Raw genomic sequence first — 19,691 nt, forward strand, 5'->3', positions numbered from 1 at the left:
TACCAACTGTTTTCCACCTATGCACACTAAAGGAACTTATCTTCTCTGCTGTCTTCCTGAATAGCAGTTCTCAAACCATGGTTCCCCATACCAACAACATCAGCCTTACCTGAGTGATTACTAGAAATGCAATATCTCAGCCCCCAAACTCAGAGTGACAGAGTAAGAAAAGTCACCTGTGTGTTTAACAAGTCCACTGGGTAAATTTAATGCATGAAGTCTGAGAACCACTCTTCCAGACTAGCAGGTTCTAGCTACCTGGCTGCACGGTAGATTCACCTGGATACTTCTTAGAAAAGCAGTAATACTGCAGCCCCATCCAGATGAAATAAATCAGAATGTCTGTCAATAGGATCTGGGCTGAGATTTTTATTTTTTAAAATTTCCACCAGGTGATTCGAATGAGCAGCTCAGTATACTGACCTGAGTAACTCCAGATGAGGTGTTACTTAGTGTTCTTGTATTGACTATTCCTATATGTTCATTCCTTCATTTCCTTAAATGAGAATTTCTACTGTATGCCAAGAACTGCAGTAGGTGCTGAGAATACAAGATAGATAGAGATCACACATTTCTAGAGTTTTTAGTCTGGTGGGCATCAGAAAAAGCCCACCACGTACAGCCACACAAGTTGTGCACTGGCCAACTTCAATGGGCACCCTTCGTATCTTTATGTACAACCTAGACAGTCACATGCGACATCTGAGGTTGAAGTCCAAGGTAACCTTGGCATTTTAAGATGGAGAATATATAATTCCAAGCAGCTTTAGCCTTTGTCACTGGTACTGCCAAATCCTGAACAGGAGGTCCCAGCAGAACTAAGGACAGTGAATTGATTTCTGATTACTTCACTATGCAGCTCATTTCCCAATTTCTTTTTCTGGTAGCTCATTATTGGTGTAGCTCATAGACATGCAACTAATTTTTGTATGTTGATTTTTGTATCCTGCAACTTTAATGAATTTGTTTAAAGATGGAGAAAGGGGTCAGGAGCCAAGGAATATGAGGAGCACCACTGTAGGGCTGGAGAAGCCAAGGGAATGGGTTCTCTTCTACAGACTCTGAAAGGACATGGTCCTACTGACACACTGATTTTCATCCAGTGAAAGTGATTTTGTACTTCTGTCCTTCAGAGTTGCAAGAGAATAAATGTATGTTGTTTTAAGCCACTACGTTTGTGATAATTTGTGACAGCAGCAATATAAAACTGATACATATACACAAATAAAGAAAATCCAGAAAACAGAGTAGAGGTTTGAGAAAGCAGTTAAGGGCAGCTGAAATTTAATGATCTCCCTTTAGTGGGCCAGGGTCTGTGCTGGTTACTTTGAATGGATTACGTCCTATCCTTACAACAGTTGTTTGAGATTGTCATCATCATCACCAGATTCATTGTTACTGTTATTGCCATCTTCACTGTCATGATCATCATTGCCATTATTGTCAATATCATCATCATCCTTTTAATTAACATTTTCATCATTATTTTTATTTTAAAGATGAGGAAATACAATTATCAAAAAAGTTAAGCAGTATCCCCTAAATTACCCACCTGGCAAGCGGTAGTCAGAGTTTGAATGCCTCTGTCTCAAAAGTACAATTTCCAAAAGGTACTTTTCACTAAACAAATTTATACTTACACTTACTTTACTGAAGAAGACTTCTGCATTGAGATATAACATTCCACTCTAATTGGAGCTCAGAAGACTTTCATTTCATGATCTTTATGGCCTGAATACAGAGTGGCTGAATCAACCACTTTGAAGAGCTACAGAACAGATTTTATTGACGGCAACTAGCAAAAAGCAGTACATCCCACAAATGAATGCAGCAGTGCTCCCACAGACATGGTTCATATAGAAATTCACATGGTAAAATACCACTAATAGACTCCCCATTCAATACCATCTTGCCCAAAATAAATTGTTTCTGCATCATCAACTCCTGGCAACAACTTTGCTATATCTGAGTTGTCATTTCTCACAATAATGGCCTTTTATTCCACTTGGGGCCTGTCACCTGGAACAAATAAGGTCTTTACAAGGTCCCAGAAAATGAGAAAATGTTCTCCATAAATTATATTTTTCTGAGCTTATTCCCCACTCTGACATAATACAAGAGGTTAACCTGCTAGAGATGTCGAATTTCACACCCCAAAACATGCAGTGAGGATCTGCTTATACTAGAAGAAAAAAACAATCAAATGTATATTTTAAAAAATTAAAATTTGAGATAAAGAAGTACATTTAAAAAAAAATTTTGTGATACAAGAGAGTTATTCTGATACCATGTTTCTGTCTGGTCAACAGTTCTCAGGATCTTTCACAAGTCCTTGATCTGAGGAATTCTCCCTATCATTTCTCAAAATTTTTCTTTGTTCTCATGATGTAAATAGGTCAAAATTTCTTATAATCAAATCTGCTGACCAATAGATCTAAATACAATTCTATAAAAAGTAACAGTAATTATGAAGGAGAAACATGAGCAAGATTGCAGAATAGAAGACACCCTGACATTATTTCCTCCACAAACATACAACTGGAAACTATTAAAAGACAAGAATACCACCATGAATTCACCAGAACTTGGGGAGAAGTGGAGAAACCCACTAGGCCATAATAACTAAGAAAAATGGTCATTTCAGACTGTGCCACTCTCTTCTCCAGGCTTGTATAATGCCACTCACAGAGAATTGACACAGACTCATGGTTTCTAAGGTGGGAAGATGGAATTGGAGGTGGATGTTTGATCCCCCTACCAGTATGGGAATCTTCATGGGAAGCCCACTCAGGTCTCACTGCACAGGAACCCCTGGGAGAGCTAGGAGGGCTGAACTACCTGGGGTGAACTGGGGACAAAAAGTGGGGGTGCTGATCACTTGGTGCTGGAATCTTGGAGCTCCAATCAGCAGGGATGCAGATGTCATACTGAGGAGACCGGCCAGCACTATAGTGCTGCAGGAAGCATGATCGGCAGGAAGGTCTGAATCTCTGGCCAGACTTCCCACAAAGCTCAGGTGCTCATGTGGAGTCTTCCCCTGACCTGGAAACAACTGAGTTTGGAAATTAAGTTCCTTTGGAAATTAAGTTCCAGTACGTATTTAAGTCTTTCCCAGACCAGGAAACAATAGTAGAGTAGCAATTTAGTTCTAGTCCAGTGTTTAAGTTCCAGTGCTCACTATAAGTGTTCCCTAGACTGGGAAACAATGGCAGGGCAGTGATTAAGTCCCAATATCAAGTAGTAGAGGTCCAACACTAATAACACCAGCAGAAGCTGGAAGAGTGGCTTTCTCTTCAAATATGCAGGCATCATCATAAAACACGCAAAAATTGTTTAAAAAAAACAAAACAACAACAAAAACAATCTCAGGGAAATATGATGCCACCAAAAGAAACAAACAAAACTCCAATAATGGACCCAGAAGAATTAAATATCTATCAAATGTCTGAGAAAGAATTCAGAATAATCCTCTTTAATTTCAGGGAGTCACAAGAAAATGTGGATGGAAAATGCAGTGAAATTTTGAAAGAATTTGAGAAATTTAGCAAGTAAATAGAAACACTTTTTAAAAATCCAAATAGAAATCCTAAGAATAAAGAATACAATAACTGAACTTATTGAAATTTATGAAAAGCTTATTCGAAATCTTCAATAGCAGACTTAAAGAACCCACAACCTCAAAGACAGAACATATAAAATTACCCAATCAGAGGAGAAAAATCTTTAAAAAAAGATTGAAGAAGGCCTATGAGAATTATGAGATACTATCAGGCAAACTAACCTCTATATAATAGTAGTTCCCCAGGAGATAAAAGAGAAAAAGTTCTAGAAAGCATGTTTAAGGAAATAATCGCTAAGATATTCCTAAATCTGGAGAAAAAGGACAGTATCCAAGTATAAAAAGCTCAGAGATCACCAATCAAATTCAACCCAAAGAGAAATTAACCAAGGCACAGCATCAAATTATCAAAAAGCAAAGATAAAGAAGAAATACTCAAAGCAGCAAGAGAAAGAAAACATATCACATTCACCTGAGCCCCAGTGCAAGTTTCAGCAGATTTCTCAACAGATACACTGCAGGCCAGAAGAGATTGGGATGATATATTCAAAGTGCTGAAGGGAAAGAACCTTGTAGCCAAGAATAGTTCACATGGAAAATGTATCCTTCAAACACAATGGAGAGATAAAGACTTTCCCAGACAAGGAAAAGCTGAGGAAATTCATCAACATCAGATCTGTCTTACAAGAAATGCTGACAAGAGTTCTTCATCTGAAAGAAAAGGGTGCTAATTTGTAACAAGAAAAGATCTAACGGTATAAAATTCACTGGTAAAAGTAAGAATACAGACAAATTTAGAATACTATAATATTGTAATTGTGGAACGTAAACCACTTGGATCTTAAGTATGAAGACTAAAGAAACAATTATTAAAGATAGTAATTACAACAATTAGTTAAGAGTTAATATAAAAAGATGTAAATTGAAACATCAAAAATAAAAATGAACGTGTGTGGGATGGTGTTAAATGTAGTTTGTTTTTCTTGCTTTAATTTGCAGTCAAAGTTAAGTTGTTAATCAGTTTAAGATAACTTGTTTTAACTATAACATGATTTTAAGCATCATGGTATTTACAAAGCAAAAACTTATAATAGATACACTAAAAATAATGAGCATGAAATCAAAACATACTACTAGAAAAAAAAAATCTCTCAAGGAAAACAATAAGAGATGAAACAAGGTAGAAAGGATCTATAAAACAACCAGAAAACAAGTAACAAAATGGTAGTAGTAAAGCCCCACCTAACAATAATAACCTTAAATGCAAATGAATTAAAATCTCCAATTAAGAGACATAGAGTGACTGAATGGATTTTTAAAAATGCCCAATTATATGCTGTCTACAAGAGATCTTTCACCTATAAAAACATGCACAGACTAAAGAGATGGAAAAAAGATATTCCAAACAAATTGAAGCAAAAAAAAAAAGCAGGAATAACAATATTTATATCAGATAAAATAGACTTTAGGTCAAGAATGGTAAAAAATAAACAAAAAGACCATGATATAATGACAAAGGGATCAATACAGAAAGAGAACATTACAATTGTAAATATGTATGCACCCAAAACTGGGACTCTCAATATTTGAGACCCTCAAATATGTAAGGAAAACATTAATAGATCTGAAAGGTCTGTAGATTGACTATAATACAATAAGAGTAGGGAACTTTAATACCCCTACTTTCAGCAATGGAAAGGTTATCCAGACAGAAAACCAACAAAGAGACGTTGGATTTAAACAGCCTTCTAGATCAAATGAATCCAACAGACATTTACAGAACTTTCCACCCAATAGATTCAGAATACACATTTTTCTCAACAAGACATGATATTTTCTCCAGGATAGATTATGAAAGTCACAAAACAAGTCTTAGAAATTTTTTAAAAATCAAAATCATATGTGTCTTTTCTGACCACCATGGAATAAAACTAAAAATCAATAACAGAAGAAATGTTCAAAACTGTAAAACTTCATGGAAATTAAGCAACACGCTCCTGAGCAACAGAGGAGTTAGTGAAGAAATCAAAAATAAAATTTAAAAATTTCTCGATCAAATGAAAATATGCACACAACATACCAAAACCTATGGGATATAGTAAAAGCAGTTCTAAGAGGGAATTTTACTGTGATAAATGCCTACATCCAAAATGTAGAGAGATCTCAAATAAAAAATCCAATGTCACAACTCAAGAAATTAGAAAAGAAGGACAAACTGAACCCCAAATTAGAAGGGGAAAAATAACAAAAATCAGAGCAGAAATAAACAAAATAGAGGTTTTAAAAACAATACAAAAGATCAAGAAAACAAGGAGGTATTTTTGTTTAAATAAAAAAAAAACAACAAACCTTAAGCTAGACTAAGGAAAAAGAGAAAGGACTCAAATAAATAAAATCAGGGATGAAAAAGGAAACATTAAAACTGATACTACAAAAATTTAAAGGACCATAAGAGCCTATTGTAAATTTCTATATGCCAAGAAATTGGAAAATCTAGAAGAAATGAGTAAATTTTGGACAGACACAACCTAGCAAGATTAAATCATGAAGAAATAGAAAATCTTAATAGACCAATAATGAATAACCATATTGAGGCAGTACTAAAGAATCTCCCATTCAAAAAACTCCCAAGACTTAATGGTATCACTGATAAATTCTACCAAACATTTAAAGAAGATTTACAACTAATCTTTCTCACAAGAATTCTACCAATTCTTCCAAAAAATTGACAAGGAGGGAACACTTCCAAACTCATTCTATGAGGCCAGCATTACCCTGATCCAAAAATCAGAAAAGAATACAACAACAAAAAAGGAAGCTATAGGCCAATATTCCTGATGAATACAGATGCAAAAAATCCTCAAGAAAATAGTACCAAACTGAATTCAATAATATATTAAAAAGATAATTCACCATGATCAAGTGGGATTCATCACAGAGATGCAAGAATGATTCAACATACACAAATCAATAAACATAATATTACCACATTAACAGAATCAAGGCCAAATCCATATGATAATTTCAATAGATGCTGAAAAAAATTTGATAAAATTCAATTCCTTCATAAAAATCCTCCAGAAATTGGTTATAAAAACAACACACCTTAATTTAATAAAGGCCATATATGACAAATCCACAGAGAACATCATACTGAGCAGGAAACAGTTGAAAACTTCATTTCTAAGATGTAGAACAAGACAAAAATGCCCACATTCACCACTTTTGTTCAACATAGCACTGAAGATTCTGTCCAGAGTAATTAGGCAAGGGAAAGAAAGAAAAGGCATCCAAATTAAGAAAAGAGGGAGTCAAATTTTCCCTGTTTGCAGACAATATCATCATAATTAGATAGATGGTTAGAGAAAAGCCTAAAGACTCCATCAAAAAAAAAATATTAGAACTAATAAATGAATTTGGTAAAGGTGTAGGATATAAAATTAACATATAAAAATCAGTAGTGTTTGCTATATGCCAATAGCAAACTATTTGAAATTGAAATTGAAAAAGTAATTCCATGTACAATAGTTACAAGGTATAAATAAAATGCCTATAAATAAACTTAACCAAGGAGGTGAAAAATCCCTACAATGAAAACTATAAAACGCCAATGAAAGAAATCGAAGAGGACACAAAAAATTAGAAAGATATTCCATGTTCATGGACTGAAATAATGTTTAAAAATATACATATTATCCAAAGTGATCTACAGATTTAATGCAATCTCTATAATAAAAATCTCAATGACATTCTTCACTGCAATAGAAATAACAATCCTAAAATTCATATGGAAATGCAAAAGATCCTGGAGAGCTAAAGGAATCTTCAGCAAAAAGAACAAAGCTTCAGGCATCACTCTACCTGATGAAAATATACTGCATAGCTATAGTAACCAAAACAGGATGACACTGGCGTAAAAACAGATACATTGATGAATGTGACAAAATACAGAACCTAGAAATAAATATATGTATGTATATCCAAATGATTTTTAACAAAGGCACCAGAAGTACTCATTGGGGAAAGGACAGTATCCTCAATAAACGGTCCTCGGAAACTGGATATCCACATGCAGAAGAATGTAACTAGATCACTATCTCCATATTCAAAAATCAACTCAAATAAGATCAGAGGCTTAAGTGTTAGGACCATAACTATGAAACTACTAGAAGAAAACATAGAGGAAATGCTTCATGGAATGGAGCAAGGATTCTTTAAAGACAACCTCAAAAGCACAGACAACAAGAGCAAAAATAGACAAATGGAATTATATCAAATTAAAAATCTTTTGCACAGCAAAGGAAATAACAGATTGAAGAGACAACTTACAGAATGGGGAAAAAAAACTATTTGTGCACTATGCATCTGACAAGGGATTAATATCCATAATATATAAGGAACTCAAACAACTCAATATCAAAAAAGCAAATAATTAAATTTAAAAATGGACAAAAGATCTGAATAGATATTTTTCAAAGGAAGACATACAAATGGCCAACAGCTATATGAAAAAATGCTCAACATCACTAATCATCAGGGAAATGCAAATCAAAACCACAATGAGATATCCCTTCACCTTAGAATGGTTATCATCAAAAACACACAAAAAATTTAACAAATGCTGGTGAGGATGTGGAGAAAAGAGAGCTCTTCCACGCTGTTGGTGAGAATGTAAATAAGTATAGCCATTATGGAAAGAGGCATGAAAGATCCTCAAAAATTTAAAAATAGAAATAGCATATGAGCCAGCAGTCCCATTACTGGATATAGATCTAAAGGAAATGAAATCAGTGTGTTGAAGGGATGTCTGTACTCCATGTTTACTCCAGCGCTGTTCACAGAAGCTGAGAGATGGAACTGACTTAAATGTGCACCTACAGAGGAATGTATAAAGGGCGGCCTGTAACTGTCTGAAACCTTGTTATTTCTCCCACGTAGCCTCTCCCCTCTAATCCTTCATTGGCTCCACTTTCTTCTTCTTTTTTTTTTTCCTTTTTTGAGACATGTTACCCAGGCTGGAGTGCAGTGGTGTGATCTCAGCTCACTGGATCCTCTACCTCCTGGGTTCAAGTGATTCTCCTGCCTCAGCCTCCTGAGTAGCTGCGATTACAGGTGCCCGCCACCACACCCAGCTAATTTTTATATATTTAGCAGAGATGGAGTTTCACCATGTTGGCCAGGCTGGTCTCAAACTCCCAACCTGAGGTGATCCACCCATCTCAGCCTCCCAATGTGCTGGGATTACAGGCATGAGCCACCATGCCTGACCTCATTGGCTCCACTTTCTCCCTCAGCCTCCTAGTCTCTCATTTTAAGCTGGCTTTTGTCCCCTCCACTCCACTGAACATGCTCTTGCAGTCACCAGTGGCCTGTGTTTTGCTGTAGCAGTGATAATTGACACTATTGATCATGCATGGTTTCCCTCTGATAGGAATTTTCTTGCTGCTTTTTCTAAGTCTCTGTTGCTGGTTCCTACTTCCTGATTTCTACGTTTTGAAGGATCCCAGAACACAGTCTCTGGACTTTCTTTCTTTCCCAGTCTCTTTGTACTCACTCCCTTTCTCCCTTTGATCTCACCCGTTCTGAAGGTTTTTAGTATCATCTCCAGGCTGGCAGCAACAAAATTTCCATGTCTGATCCAGACCTCTTATCTAAACTCCAAACTTCTACACCCAACTGCCTGCTCACATCTGCACCAGGATGTTGAATTTGCATCAGAAACCGAACATTCTTTTTACTGAGCCCCTGATCTTCCTTCCCTGCCCTGTTTCCCTCACTCGATGAGCAGTCCCTCTGCCATTCTAACTGCTCAGGCTACAGTCCTTGATTTCTCACTTTTTCTGTCACCTCAAATCCAACCTATCAGAAAATCCTACACTCAGCCTTTGTGATGCACCCAGCACGCTGCTCCTTTCCCCATGTCCACACCATCTCTCGTTAGAATGACTAAAATGACTCCCACCTGGAGCCCTCGCTCCAGTCCCCATGCCCCTTCAGCTCTATGCTCAACACAATAGCCAGATAAATCTTGTTAAAGCATAAGTCATATAATGCCACCCTGTTCAAAAACCTCCAACATCCTCTCTGTCCCTATCTCCCCTTCCTGTCCCTCCCTTGCTAACCCTGCTCTTGTCACACAGGCTGCTGCAGGCCTTGGTGTTTGCTGTTTGCTCTGCCTGAAAAGCCCTCTTCCACCCCCGCTGACATCCCCAGGACTCTATCACTTCGTTTAGGTTTCACTCAAGTGCCCCTTCTCAGCGAGACCGACTCTAGCCTATCTGAAACTCCACGTCTCCCTTAAAATTACTCTTCTTCACTGCTTCAGTTTCTTTGCACTAATTACAATCTACTAGTCTACATATTCATTTATCTGATGCATTGCTCTCCCACACCCACTAGAATAAAGCTACCTTAAGATGAAGGCTTCCGCCTGTTTTGTTCACACTGTATCCCCAGCAGCCAGAAACCATGTGTGGCACTCAGTATTTGCCTCCAAAATTTATTTGTTGAATAAATGAACAAACTACACACATCACCATGGATAAATCTCAAAGCAATAATGTGGAGAACAAAGCTAGTCCCAGAAGAACTCTTCCTCTGTGATTCTAATTACATAAAGTTCAAGAGCATGCACATCTTAGCAAAATATTACTTAAGGCTACAAACATGTGGTACAACTACAAAGAACATTGAGGATTAGTTAACAAGGAGTTCAGGAGAGGGGTTCCTACTGTAGGGTGGGGTGGGGACGTGATTGGAGAGGAGCACACAGGGGCCTTTTCAAGGACACTTTTCTATTTCTTAAGTGGGGTTCTATTCATGTTTATATTTTGTGTAAAAAAAATTAAGTTACATTTTTAAAAGACAAAAAAAGACAAAGTTACATTTAAAAAATCATTGAAGCAAGCAGAGTGCATCACCTCCTTGTAATCCAATATTCATAATATAAATGACCCCATCCCCATCTCCTCGGCCACTGATCTGATGCCTCTGTTCTGCTTATCTGCTGCATTACCAGCTCACTGTGCAGCAAATTCACACTATTCATTGTTAGCTCTATAGCCCAACTGGATGGCAAACATCCCAATAGACAAAACTCCAAGAAGAGTCAAAACAAGAATAAAGTGCAGGTCATCTTTTCTTTTGCACTCCTGACAGCACTTTGTACATGGTAATAATAATCTACCAATTAACTACATAAGCCACATGGTTTTATTATAGTGTGAAGCTTTGTATCCAGAAAGGAGAGAAGGCTCCCTAAGACTCTGTCAAGAATGGGTGCTTCCTTTCTGCTGTAACCTCTTCTTTTCTCCAAAGCCAGCTCACCTCTTCCTCCTGACTGAGCACAGCTGGGGCCCTCCCCTAGGTCGGCTTAATGAGGTGGGGCCCTCCCTCTGGCTTGGAATCCACACACATTCCTGCAGCCAAATGCTGCAGCAAGAGGCAGGGACCACGTTTAATGCTTTTCCTTGGGAAACTGACCTGTGTCTCCACTAATATCTGACAATTTGGCAAGAGGACCAACAAGATTTGAGGCAATATGTGATAAAATATGCAGTTATTTAAAAAAATACTTTTATAGATTGGGTGCAGGGACTTGTGTTTGTAATCCTAGATACTGAGAAGGCTGAGGCGAGAGGAGCACCTGAGCCCAGGAGTTTGAGGTCACAGGGAGCCATGATTACATCACTGTACTCCAGCCTGGGCATCGGAGAAAGACCCTGTCCAACAGAACAACAACAACACAAATAGTGTTCCAAAACTGGATAAGAATGCAGATGTTCAAAGGAAGCCCTGAAAATAAGCTCAATTTTAAAAAGCGGGGAGTAAAGAATTACAAAAGGAAGGAAAGGAGGAGAGAAGGGGAGAAGAGGGAAGCAAGGAGGAAAGGCAAGTGTTTTGTTCACTAGTATATCCCCAGAAACGTTTAAATAATAGACACTAAGCATTTGTTGAATGAATGAAGTAATAGATGAAATAGATGTGAAGCAATGGGAGAAAATATGGACTTACATGGCTAACACCCTGTCACGTGGCCTGCACCTGAATCTACACAACAGGCCCCTCAGCCTCCACCATGTAACAGAGTTCAGGGAGCCCAGCCTTTTTCTTCTAACACCTCAATGCCAGACTTGCTCCATGTTGGACACCAGCTTATCTGTGCTTCTGGTACCCCAGAGGTACTTGATGAACATACTATTTTATTTATTTAACACATTTGGAGAGAGTATCTGCAAGGATTCCTCCAATGTAGTATATCAGGGGGTATTCCTTGGTCTGTTAGTTCCCAGAAAATGACCTCATTCTATGGAAAATCTGGTTGTCCATGGTTAGTCCAATGTGGTGACACAAAATGGAAATCCTTAAAACTAAAGAAAGAATTACAGTCATTTAATAAAGACAATGAAACTGAAACATCATGAATCATAGTTTAGGAAATCAATTTGTAATGAAGAAACATTTAGTATGGGAGAAGGGAGTGAGTAAATTACCTACGGAAAGATGAAGCAACACATTTATACAAAGTGTCAATAGATAAAATGGACACACCTTTAGATGTATATTATACTGATTTTAAACCACACACATTGGTAACAAATAGACTAATCCATTTCCAAACTAATTGGATTGCTGGGTGCACATTACTATCAGAGTAGCCAGAGGTAGGCTTCAAACTAATGGTAGTAATTGCTTTTAAACAACCTTTAGATGAGTCCAGGCATCTTAAATGTCCTATTTATCTCCCTTTCCTATTGTAGAAATTATGCTACAGATCAGCCTAATGGGGGACCCACACCTAATAGACATACAAAGGACAATTAGAAGAGTCGAGAAGTAAAAAGCAAAAAATGAAGTTTTATAGAACGAATGAAGACAAAAATCTGAACCGCACCTGAAGTGGAGCTGGGCCTTGTCACGAACAAAAACTTACAGTGCAAGGTTCTGCAGCTGGCTGGCTTTATGACCTTGAGCTTCCACTTAACCTGTCCACACTTCCAGTTTTCATCTACAAATTGAAGGGGGTTGTGCAAGCATTTGACATTCTTTCAGTTGCTATGGGCAGTGAACCTATGAACATGACAGTGACAGCAATGGCAAGAAACAGCCGTGAGGTCTTCTTGCCATCAGGCCAGAGCCTCTTTTCTTGCTCAGACTCCGCTGTGGGGAGCAACCGCACACCAGACCCTCCGACACATCCTCCGTGTTTCTGCCAGCTCTGCCACTATTCAAGTTCTCCTGATTTTATCAGCACCTGCTCTTGTTCTCCCATGCCCAGGACCACTATAATAGCCTCCTTTCTATTTTCTGCTAATCATCACTCCCCTAAAACACACAACAGGTGCAATACTTTTGACATATTAAATGTGTCTACCTTCAGAATCCCCCAGAAGGAGACTCTGTGACAGGGATTCAAGCAAAAGTAGTTTATGTGAGGTAGTTGGTTTCAGGAAACACAGGCAGGAAAGGAGGCAAGTGAACAATAAAAGGAAGACGGTCAATGAAGGGCACATTATAGCAAGTCGCCACTATGAGAAATGGCAGCTTCATCTCTTGGAGACACTGAGAACCAGAGCAGGACCCTGCCTCAGTTACTCTTCCTGAAAGCCTAGCTAGCTGAGGTTTACATCACCACCTCCGGCTGTCACTGGCCGTGGCTGCTCTCAGGAGTCAATCTCAGGCACTTTCACCTGCCAAAGAGAGTCCTTAGGGGAAGTGTTGCTACTGGGCAGCTGGAAGTGCTGCCAGGAAATGGTAAGGAGGTGACAGGCTCCAGGCAGGCACCAACAGCACCTGCAACACCACCGCTCATTTTTGTTTCTTAATTGTCCTGTGTCTCCTTCACACACGGAGTTGATGGCAGCCATTGCTTCAAAGAAAGATACAGCCTAAAATAAAGACTCAGGGTTTTGCTCTGAGTTTCTGATTTGTTTCTCAAGTCTATGGTAAGCATTTCATTTGAAAGTCTGGATTTATAGGACAATTGAGAGGGAAGAGAGTTTTCTAAATTCCCAAAGCCTCCTTCTGCATTAAGGCAGAACAAAGCTTGGAGGTCTAATGATGGAGTTTTGCCACAAGACATGGTGTGAAGACTTAGAATATGGCTCAGGACAGAGTTCCCACAACATGGAAGAGGAAGGGAGATGATGCAGTGGGCAGGACATGGAGAGATTTGGGGGATAAGGATGAGGTTAAGATGTTGCCTAGGGTCCAGTTACGGTGGCTCATGCCTGTAATCCCAGCACTTTGGGAGGCAGAGGTGGGCGGATCATGAGGTCAGGAGTTCAAGGCCAGCCTGGCCAACATGGTGAAACACTGTCTCTACTAAAAATACAAAAATTAGCTGGGCGTGGTGGTGCATGCCTATAATCCCAGCTACTTAGAAGGCTGAGGCAGTAGAATTGCTTGAACCCGGGAGGCAGAGTTTGCAGTGAGCTGAGATCATGTCATTGCATTTCAGCCTGGGTGACATAAAAAGGCTCTGTCCCCACCTGCTAAAAAATAAATAAAAAATAAAAAAGTTTTTAAAAAGATGTTGCCTGGATTCTTGAGAGGAATCTTAGATTTGAGGGTGGGTATGGTTTAGATGATAGAAACTCTGGATTGGTAGGAGTGGAGAAAAGGAAAGGGAAGGTCTCCCCTACCCTGAGAGGCCACAGCAGAGTGAAAATGCTGCAATAAAAAGATAAGGCAGAGAGCAGGACTGAGGTAGCACCCTGGCCCCCCAAGGTATAGGCGAGTTGTGTAGGGGATTCCAAAGTTTACTGATGTGAATTTAAGAGCAAAATGAGATGCTCATACATCTTGAAATGAGATATTCATATAGCTTCTATGGCAGACTATTTGCAAAAAATGGCTGCAATAAATTCTGTCATCCTTCATGCATGTCCTTTGCAATGTGACTTTGCTGCTCCCCTGACTTCTCTACTCCTAGAATCTGGTGTTCGCCATGCAACTGGCTTTAGTTACAGGAATATTGGCAGATCTGATGCAAGAAGTTGGGAATTAAATTAAAACAGATAGCACTTATTTAGTAATTGCTTTATGCATGTCACTGTATGATACGGTTTGGATATGTGGCCCTGCCAAAAACTTATGTTGAAATGTCATTTCCAATGTTGAAGGTGGGGTCTGGTGGGAGGTGACTGAATCATGGGGGTGGATTTCTCATGAATGGTTTAGTGCCATCCTCCTGGTACTGTCACGATAATGAGTGAGTTCTTGTGAGATCTGGTTATTTGAAAGTTTGTGGCACCTCCCCCCTCTCTTCCTCCCGCTCTGGCCATAGGAGCTGCCTGCTCCCTCTTTGCCTTCTGCCATGATTCTAAGCTTCCTGCAGCCTCCCCAGAAGCTGAGCAGATGCCAGTATTATGCTTCTTGTACAGCCTACAGAACAGTGAGCCAATTAAACCTCTTTTCTTTATAAATTACTCAGTCTCTTTTTTTTTGTTTGAGTTAGAGTTTTGCTCTGTCACCCTAGCTGGAGTGCATTGGCATGATCTCGGTTCATTGCAATCTCTGCCTCCCAGGTTCAAGTGATTGTCCTGCCTCAGCCTCCCAAGTAGCTGGGATTACAGGCTCCTGCCACAATGCCCAGCTAATTTTTGTATTTTTAGCACAGATGGGGTTTCATCATGTTGGTCAGGCTGGTCTTGAGTTTCTGACCTCAAGTGATCCACCCATCTCGGCCTCCCAAAGTGCTGGGATTACAGGCATGAGCCACCACGCGCAGCCCAGGCATTTCTTTATGGCAATGCAAGAATAGACAAATACACTGTACTAAACACTTCATATTTTAACTTCTTTTATCCTACAACTCACAGCCATAGGAGGGAGGTATTATTATTCTTGTTTTATAAATGAGGAAGCTGAGGCACAGAAAGGTTGGTCAAAGGCCATACAGTTTGCACATCTTAGAGGTAGTATTGCAAGCCAGACGATATAACTCCCAAGTCTGTGCGATTTATCTCTGGAATATTTACAATTCAGCCTGTAAGAAAGATTGCCCAACAAATGGTCGTGTGTGTGTGTGTGTGTGTGTGTGTATGTGTGTGTATTTTATTTTTATTTTTATTTTATTTTTTTGAGATGGAGTCTTGCTCTGTTGCCCAGGCTGGAGTGCAGTGGCATGATCTCGGCTCACTGCAAGCTCCACCTCCGGGGTTCACACCATTCTCCTGCTTAGCCTCCCAAGTAGCTGGGACTACAGGTGCCCACCACCAAGCCCGGCTAATTTTTTTTGTATTTTTAGTAGAGACGGGGTTTCACCATGTTAGCCAAGATGGTCTCGATCTCCTGACCTCGTGATCCACCCGTCTCGGCCTCCCAAAGTGCTGGGATTACAGGCGTAAGCCATCGTGCCCAGCCCATGTGTATATATTGTTACTCTTCCACATATATAAAAGGTCATGTCACTCAGCTTCTATGGTAGACTATTTGCAAAAAATGGCTGCAACAAATTCTCTCATTCCTCATGCATGTCCTGTGCAACGTGACTTGGCTGCTCCCCTGACTTCTCTACTCCTTCAATCTGGAGTTGGCCATGCAACTTGCTTTAGTCACAGGAATATTGCCAGATGTGATGCAAGCAGTTGGGAAGGGCATGAGCATTGTGGCTTCCTGGGACATGGGTCCACCACCCGAGTACTAGGCTAGGCTAGTCCACCAGAGGGTAAAGAGCATGTGCTGAGGCCCAGTTGTGCCTGCCATCCGATTTGAAGCCCAGACACTTAAGAGAATCAAGAGAGTGCCTCTCCTTACTAGAAGAGCTGCACAGCTGCCCCCACAGAATCATGAGAAATCATAAATGTTTGCCACTTTGGGCCACTAAGTTTTGGCATCAAGTCTCGATTGAATCCTCCCTATGTGTGGAGTACTGTTTCATGTGGGGGAATACACGTATATCCATCACAGTGGACAGAATCGTGTCCCCCTAAAAGGTAAGTTCAAGTCCTAACACCCAGTACCCGTGGATGTGACCTTATTTGGAAATAAGAACTTTGTAGATGTCATCAAATTAAGATGAGGTCATACTGGATTACAATGATCTCTAATTCAATGACTGGTTTTCTTATAAGAAGAGGAAAATCTGGACAAAGACCCAGAGAGGCAGACACAGACCCACAGGGAGAACACGGTATGATAGATATGACAACAGGGACTGAGAAGGCAGCCACCAGCAGCCACAGAGAGAGGCGAAGCAGACTCCCACCAGGAGCTTCAGAGGGAGACCACCGTGCTCACACCTTGACTTTAGACTTCTGGCCTCTAGAACTATGGCAAAATAAATTCCTCCTGTTTTAGGCCACCCAATGTGTGGCACTTTGTTACGGCTGTCCTAGGACATTAGTGTATATTCTGAGAGATGCAGAAAAAGGGACTGGGAAAAAAATAAAGAGGAACACAGAATAAAGACCTAAAACTGTGGCAGGCGCCTGTAGTCCCAGCTACTTGGGAGGCTGAGGCAGGAGAATGGCGTGAACCCGGGAGACGGAGCTTGCAGTGAGCCGAGGTGGTGCCACTGCACTCCAGCCTGGGCGACAGAGCAAGACTCTGTCTCAAAAAAAAAAAAAAAAAGACCTAAAACTGAGATACAGAGGACAGGAGGTGTGGTGACTGCTGGCATAAAGTGGAAAGAATTTAGTTACATGATTTTCTTATTTTGGGGGGTCTATTTATGGTTTTCCTTTGAACCCCTCAGGCCAACTCCGGTTTTGTCATCAGCTGCTTGCTTAGGCGAGGATGAGGGGGGCAGCTTGGTTTCTTGGGGAAGCTGGGGGCTAACCTGGCTCCTAAAAGGGCCTCTAGCCCAAAACTTCACACCCCAAATGGTCTTGTCTTCCTCCCAGTCATGACACACTTGGTTCAAGAGAAATGGGATTCTTTAGTGGGCCTGATGAAGACCCTCATGCCCTGACAGATGATACATAGTAGCATCTTAAAGATGTTAAGGATGACTTTTGATTTTTAGCCCTTTATCTGACCCACAACCATTTATTCTTGTTAATAGATCATCATAAATAAAGAACGCAAGTATGCTTGTGACAATCCTTAGAGTACAGGGATCCGGACTGCACAAGGCTGCCTGGAAGGGGTGTGAAATGGGGTAGTGAGGAGGCACAAAAAGGAGAGGGAGAGAAGGGTAGAGAGAAGGGACACATAGCTCCTCCCAGCCTGGGGCCTTTGCTCTTAGTCCCATCCTGTCTCATCTCTTGGCATTGAGTCTCCCAGTCCATCCAAGAGGATTCCAGGTTGGATTCCACAGTCCCCAGGCTCTCAGCCTCCCACGTGCTCCAAGCCTATCCTGAGTGCCCATCTCACTCCCACCACTCTCCATGACCCCATGCATCAGGACTCCTCCTTGCCCCCACATTCTCCAAGCATCATGGTCACCTAATAGCCGGCTCTGCTTTGAATTCCTCATTGCCCCTGGAATCTTTTCAGGCTGGATTACATCTTTTTAAGCCTGAATAAAAAAACCAACTGAATGATCTTTAAAGTGCACGTGACTCGCTTGTGCCCTTCTGATCATGGATAAATACCCATATCCCTGGGGGCAGCCTGCCAGCTGGCCTGCCTATCTCTCTGTCCCCCAGTCAAGGTGCACCTGCAGGCTAATTATGCACATCAATACGGCGGGGAGTGGGCTGTCCAGACTCTTCTGTGCTGCCCTCAGTTGGGTTGATTGCTGGGGCTGGCCTCGGAGCACTTGCTACGGGAGCATGAGAACCATTCTGGCTTCAGTCCAGGACTTCAAAGCCAGCTCCCCATCCCTCCTGCCATCATCCCATGAGCCTGCCCCTGGCAGCAGTCATTGCACAGCCTGGGGTGCCAGTCTTTGCTTCCCTCCTTTTCCTTCCTCACTGCCGCCTTCTATCTCCATCACTGTCCCAGATGAAAATGCAGCCATCGCCCTCCACACATCAAAAGGGGGAGGTGACGAGAGGGGCATTCATCTTTTTGCCTCCATGAAGAATCAGGAGCTGTATTGGATACGTTTACATTTATTTATTTATTTATTTATTTATTTATTTATTTATTTATTTATTTATTTATGAGACAGAGTCTTGCTCTGCAACCAGGCTGGAATGCAGTGGCAGGATCTTGGCTCACTGCAACCTCCACCCCCCAGGTTCAAGCAACTCTTCAGCCTCAGCCTCCCGAGTAGCTGGGACTACAGGTGCATGCCACCACACCCAGCTAATTTTTGAAATTTTTTTTCATTTTTATTGTTTTTAGTAGAGAGAGACGGGGTTTCACCACGTTGGCCAGGATTGTCTCAATCTCTTGACCTCATGATCTGCCCACCATGGCCTCCCAAAGTGCTGGGATTAAAGGCAGGAGCCACTACGCCCAGCCACATTCACATTTATTGATTCAATTGGCCCTTGCTTCACAGCTGCTTCAAATATTTCAGAATTCCTCCTGTTTTTTACATCATGAAACTGAGGCTGAGAGGGTGACGTTAGCTTGCACAGGAGCCACAGGTCATACTGAGTGGAATTTGTGTTTGATTCTGACCTGCCTTACCCTAGAGACACTGTCTTTCTATCCAACTGCAGAGGTCCTGGGCACAGGCCAGTCAGGGAGTAAGAATGGGCCATTTAACAAGCATTCATAGCCACCAGCAGTCACTGCTTTGCCAGTTTCAAGCAGGCAAGAGTCAAGGAAGCCTCAGCAGCTGTGGCATTTTGCCACCCAGGTAGAGGAACCTTGCTTTCCTGCAAATCTCTCCTCCTGTGATCCTTGACTGATGCCTGGCTTGGCTGTGCTGTTTTTCTGGGAAGTTAGATGTTATTCTCATGCCATATCTCTGGCTACAGCTCATGGACTGTGCCTGGCCTCCAGAATCTTCCCCTTTCTGCACCTGGCACCAAGCCTTCTAATACATCCCTACCTTCCCAGCTGGGACAGGGTCCCCAAGACACCTCACTGAGAATCAACACGATCAGTCCCCATAGTGTGTGCATGTGACACTGGGGAGCCTGGAGCTGATGCACTTACTTATAATCACAACATTCCCAAAGCACAACTTGGAGTTTGGCTCTTTGCCTTCCTTCTTCTGGAATGCAACAGTCATTGTTGAATTTCTACCCTCACCTAACCAGGCAATTCCTTATGGAAAGAGTCAGTC

The 19,691-nt window shown here is 40.9% G+C and overlaps 1 protein-coding gene across 3 annotated transcripts in view; it reads right to left on the reverse strand.

Moving 5' to 3' along the window:
• DSCAM (DS cell adhesion molecule) overlaps positions 1-19,691 on the reverse strand; it is an 836,160-nt gene that overhangs the window by 730,401 nt on the left and 86,068 nt on the right. The gene's annotated exons all lie outside the window — the stretch shown is intronic.

The sequence above is a fragment of the Homo sapiens genome, chromosome 21, assembly GCF_000001405.40.
Source record: "Homo sapiens chromosome 21, GRCh38.p14 Primary Assembly".
Classification (NCBI taxonomy): domain Eukaryota; kingdom Metazoa; phylum Chordata; class Mammalia; order Primates; family Hominidae; genus Homo; species Homo sapiens.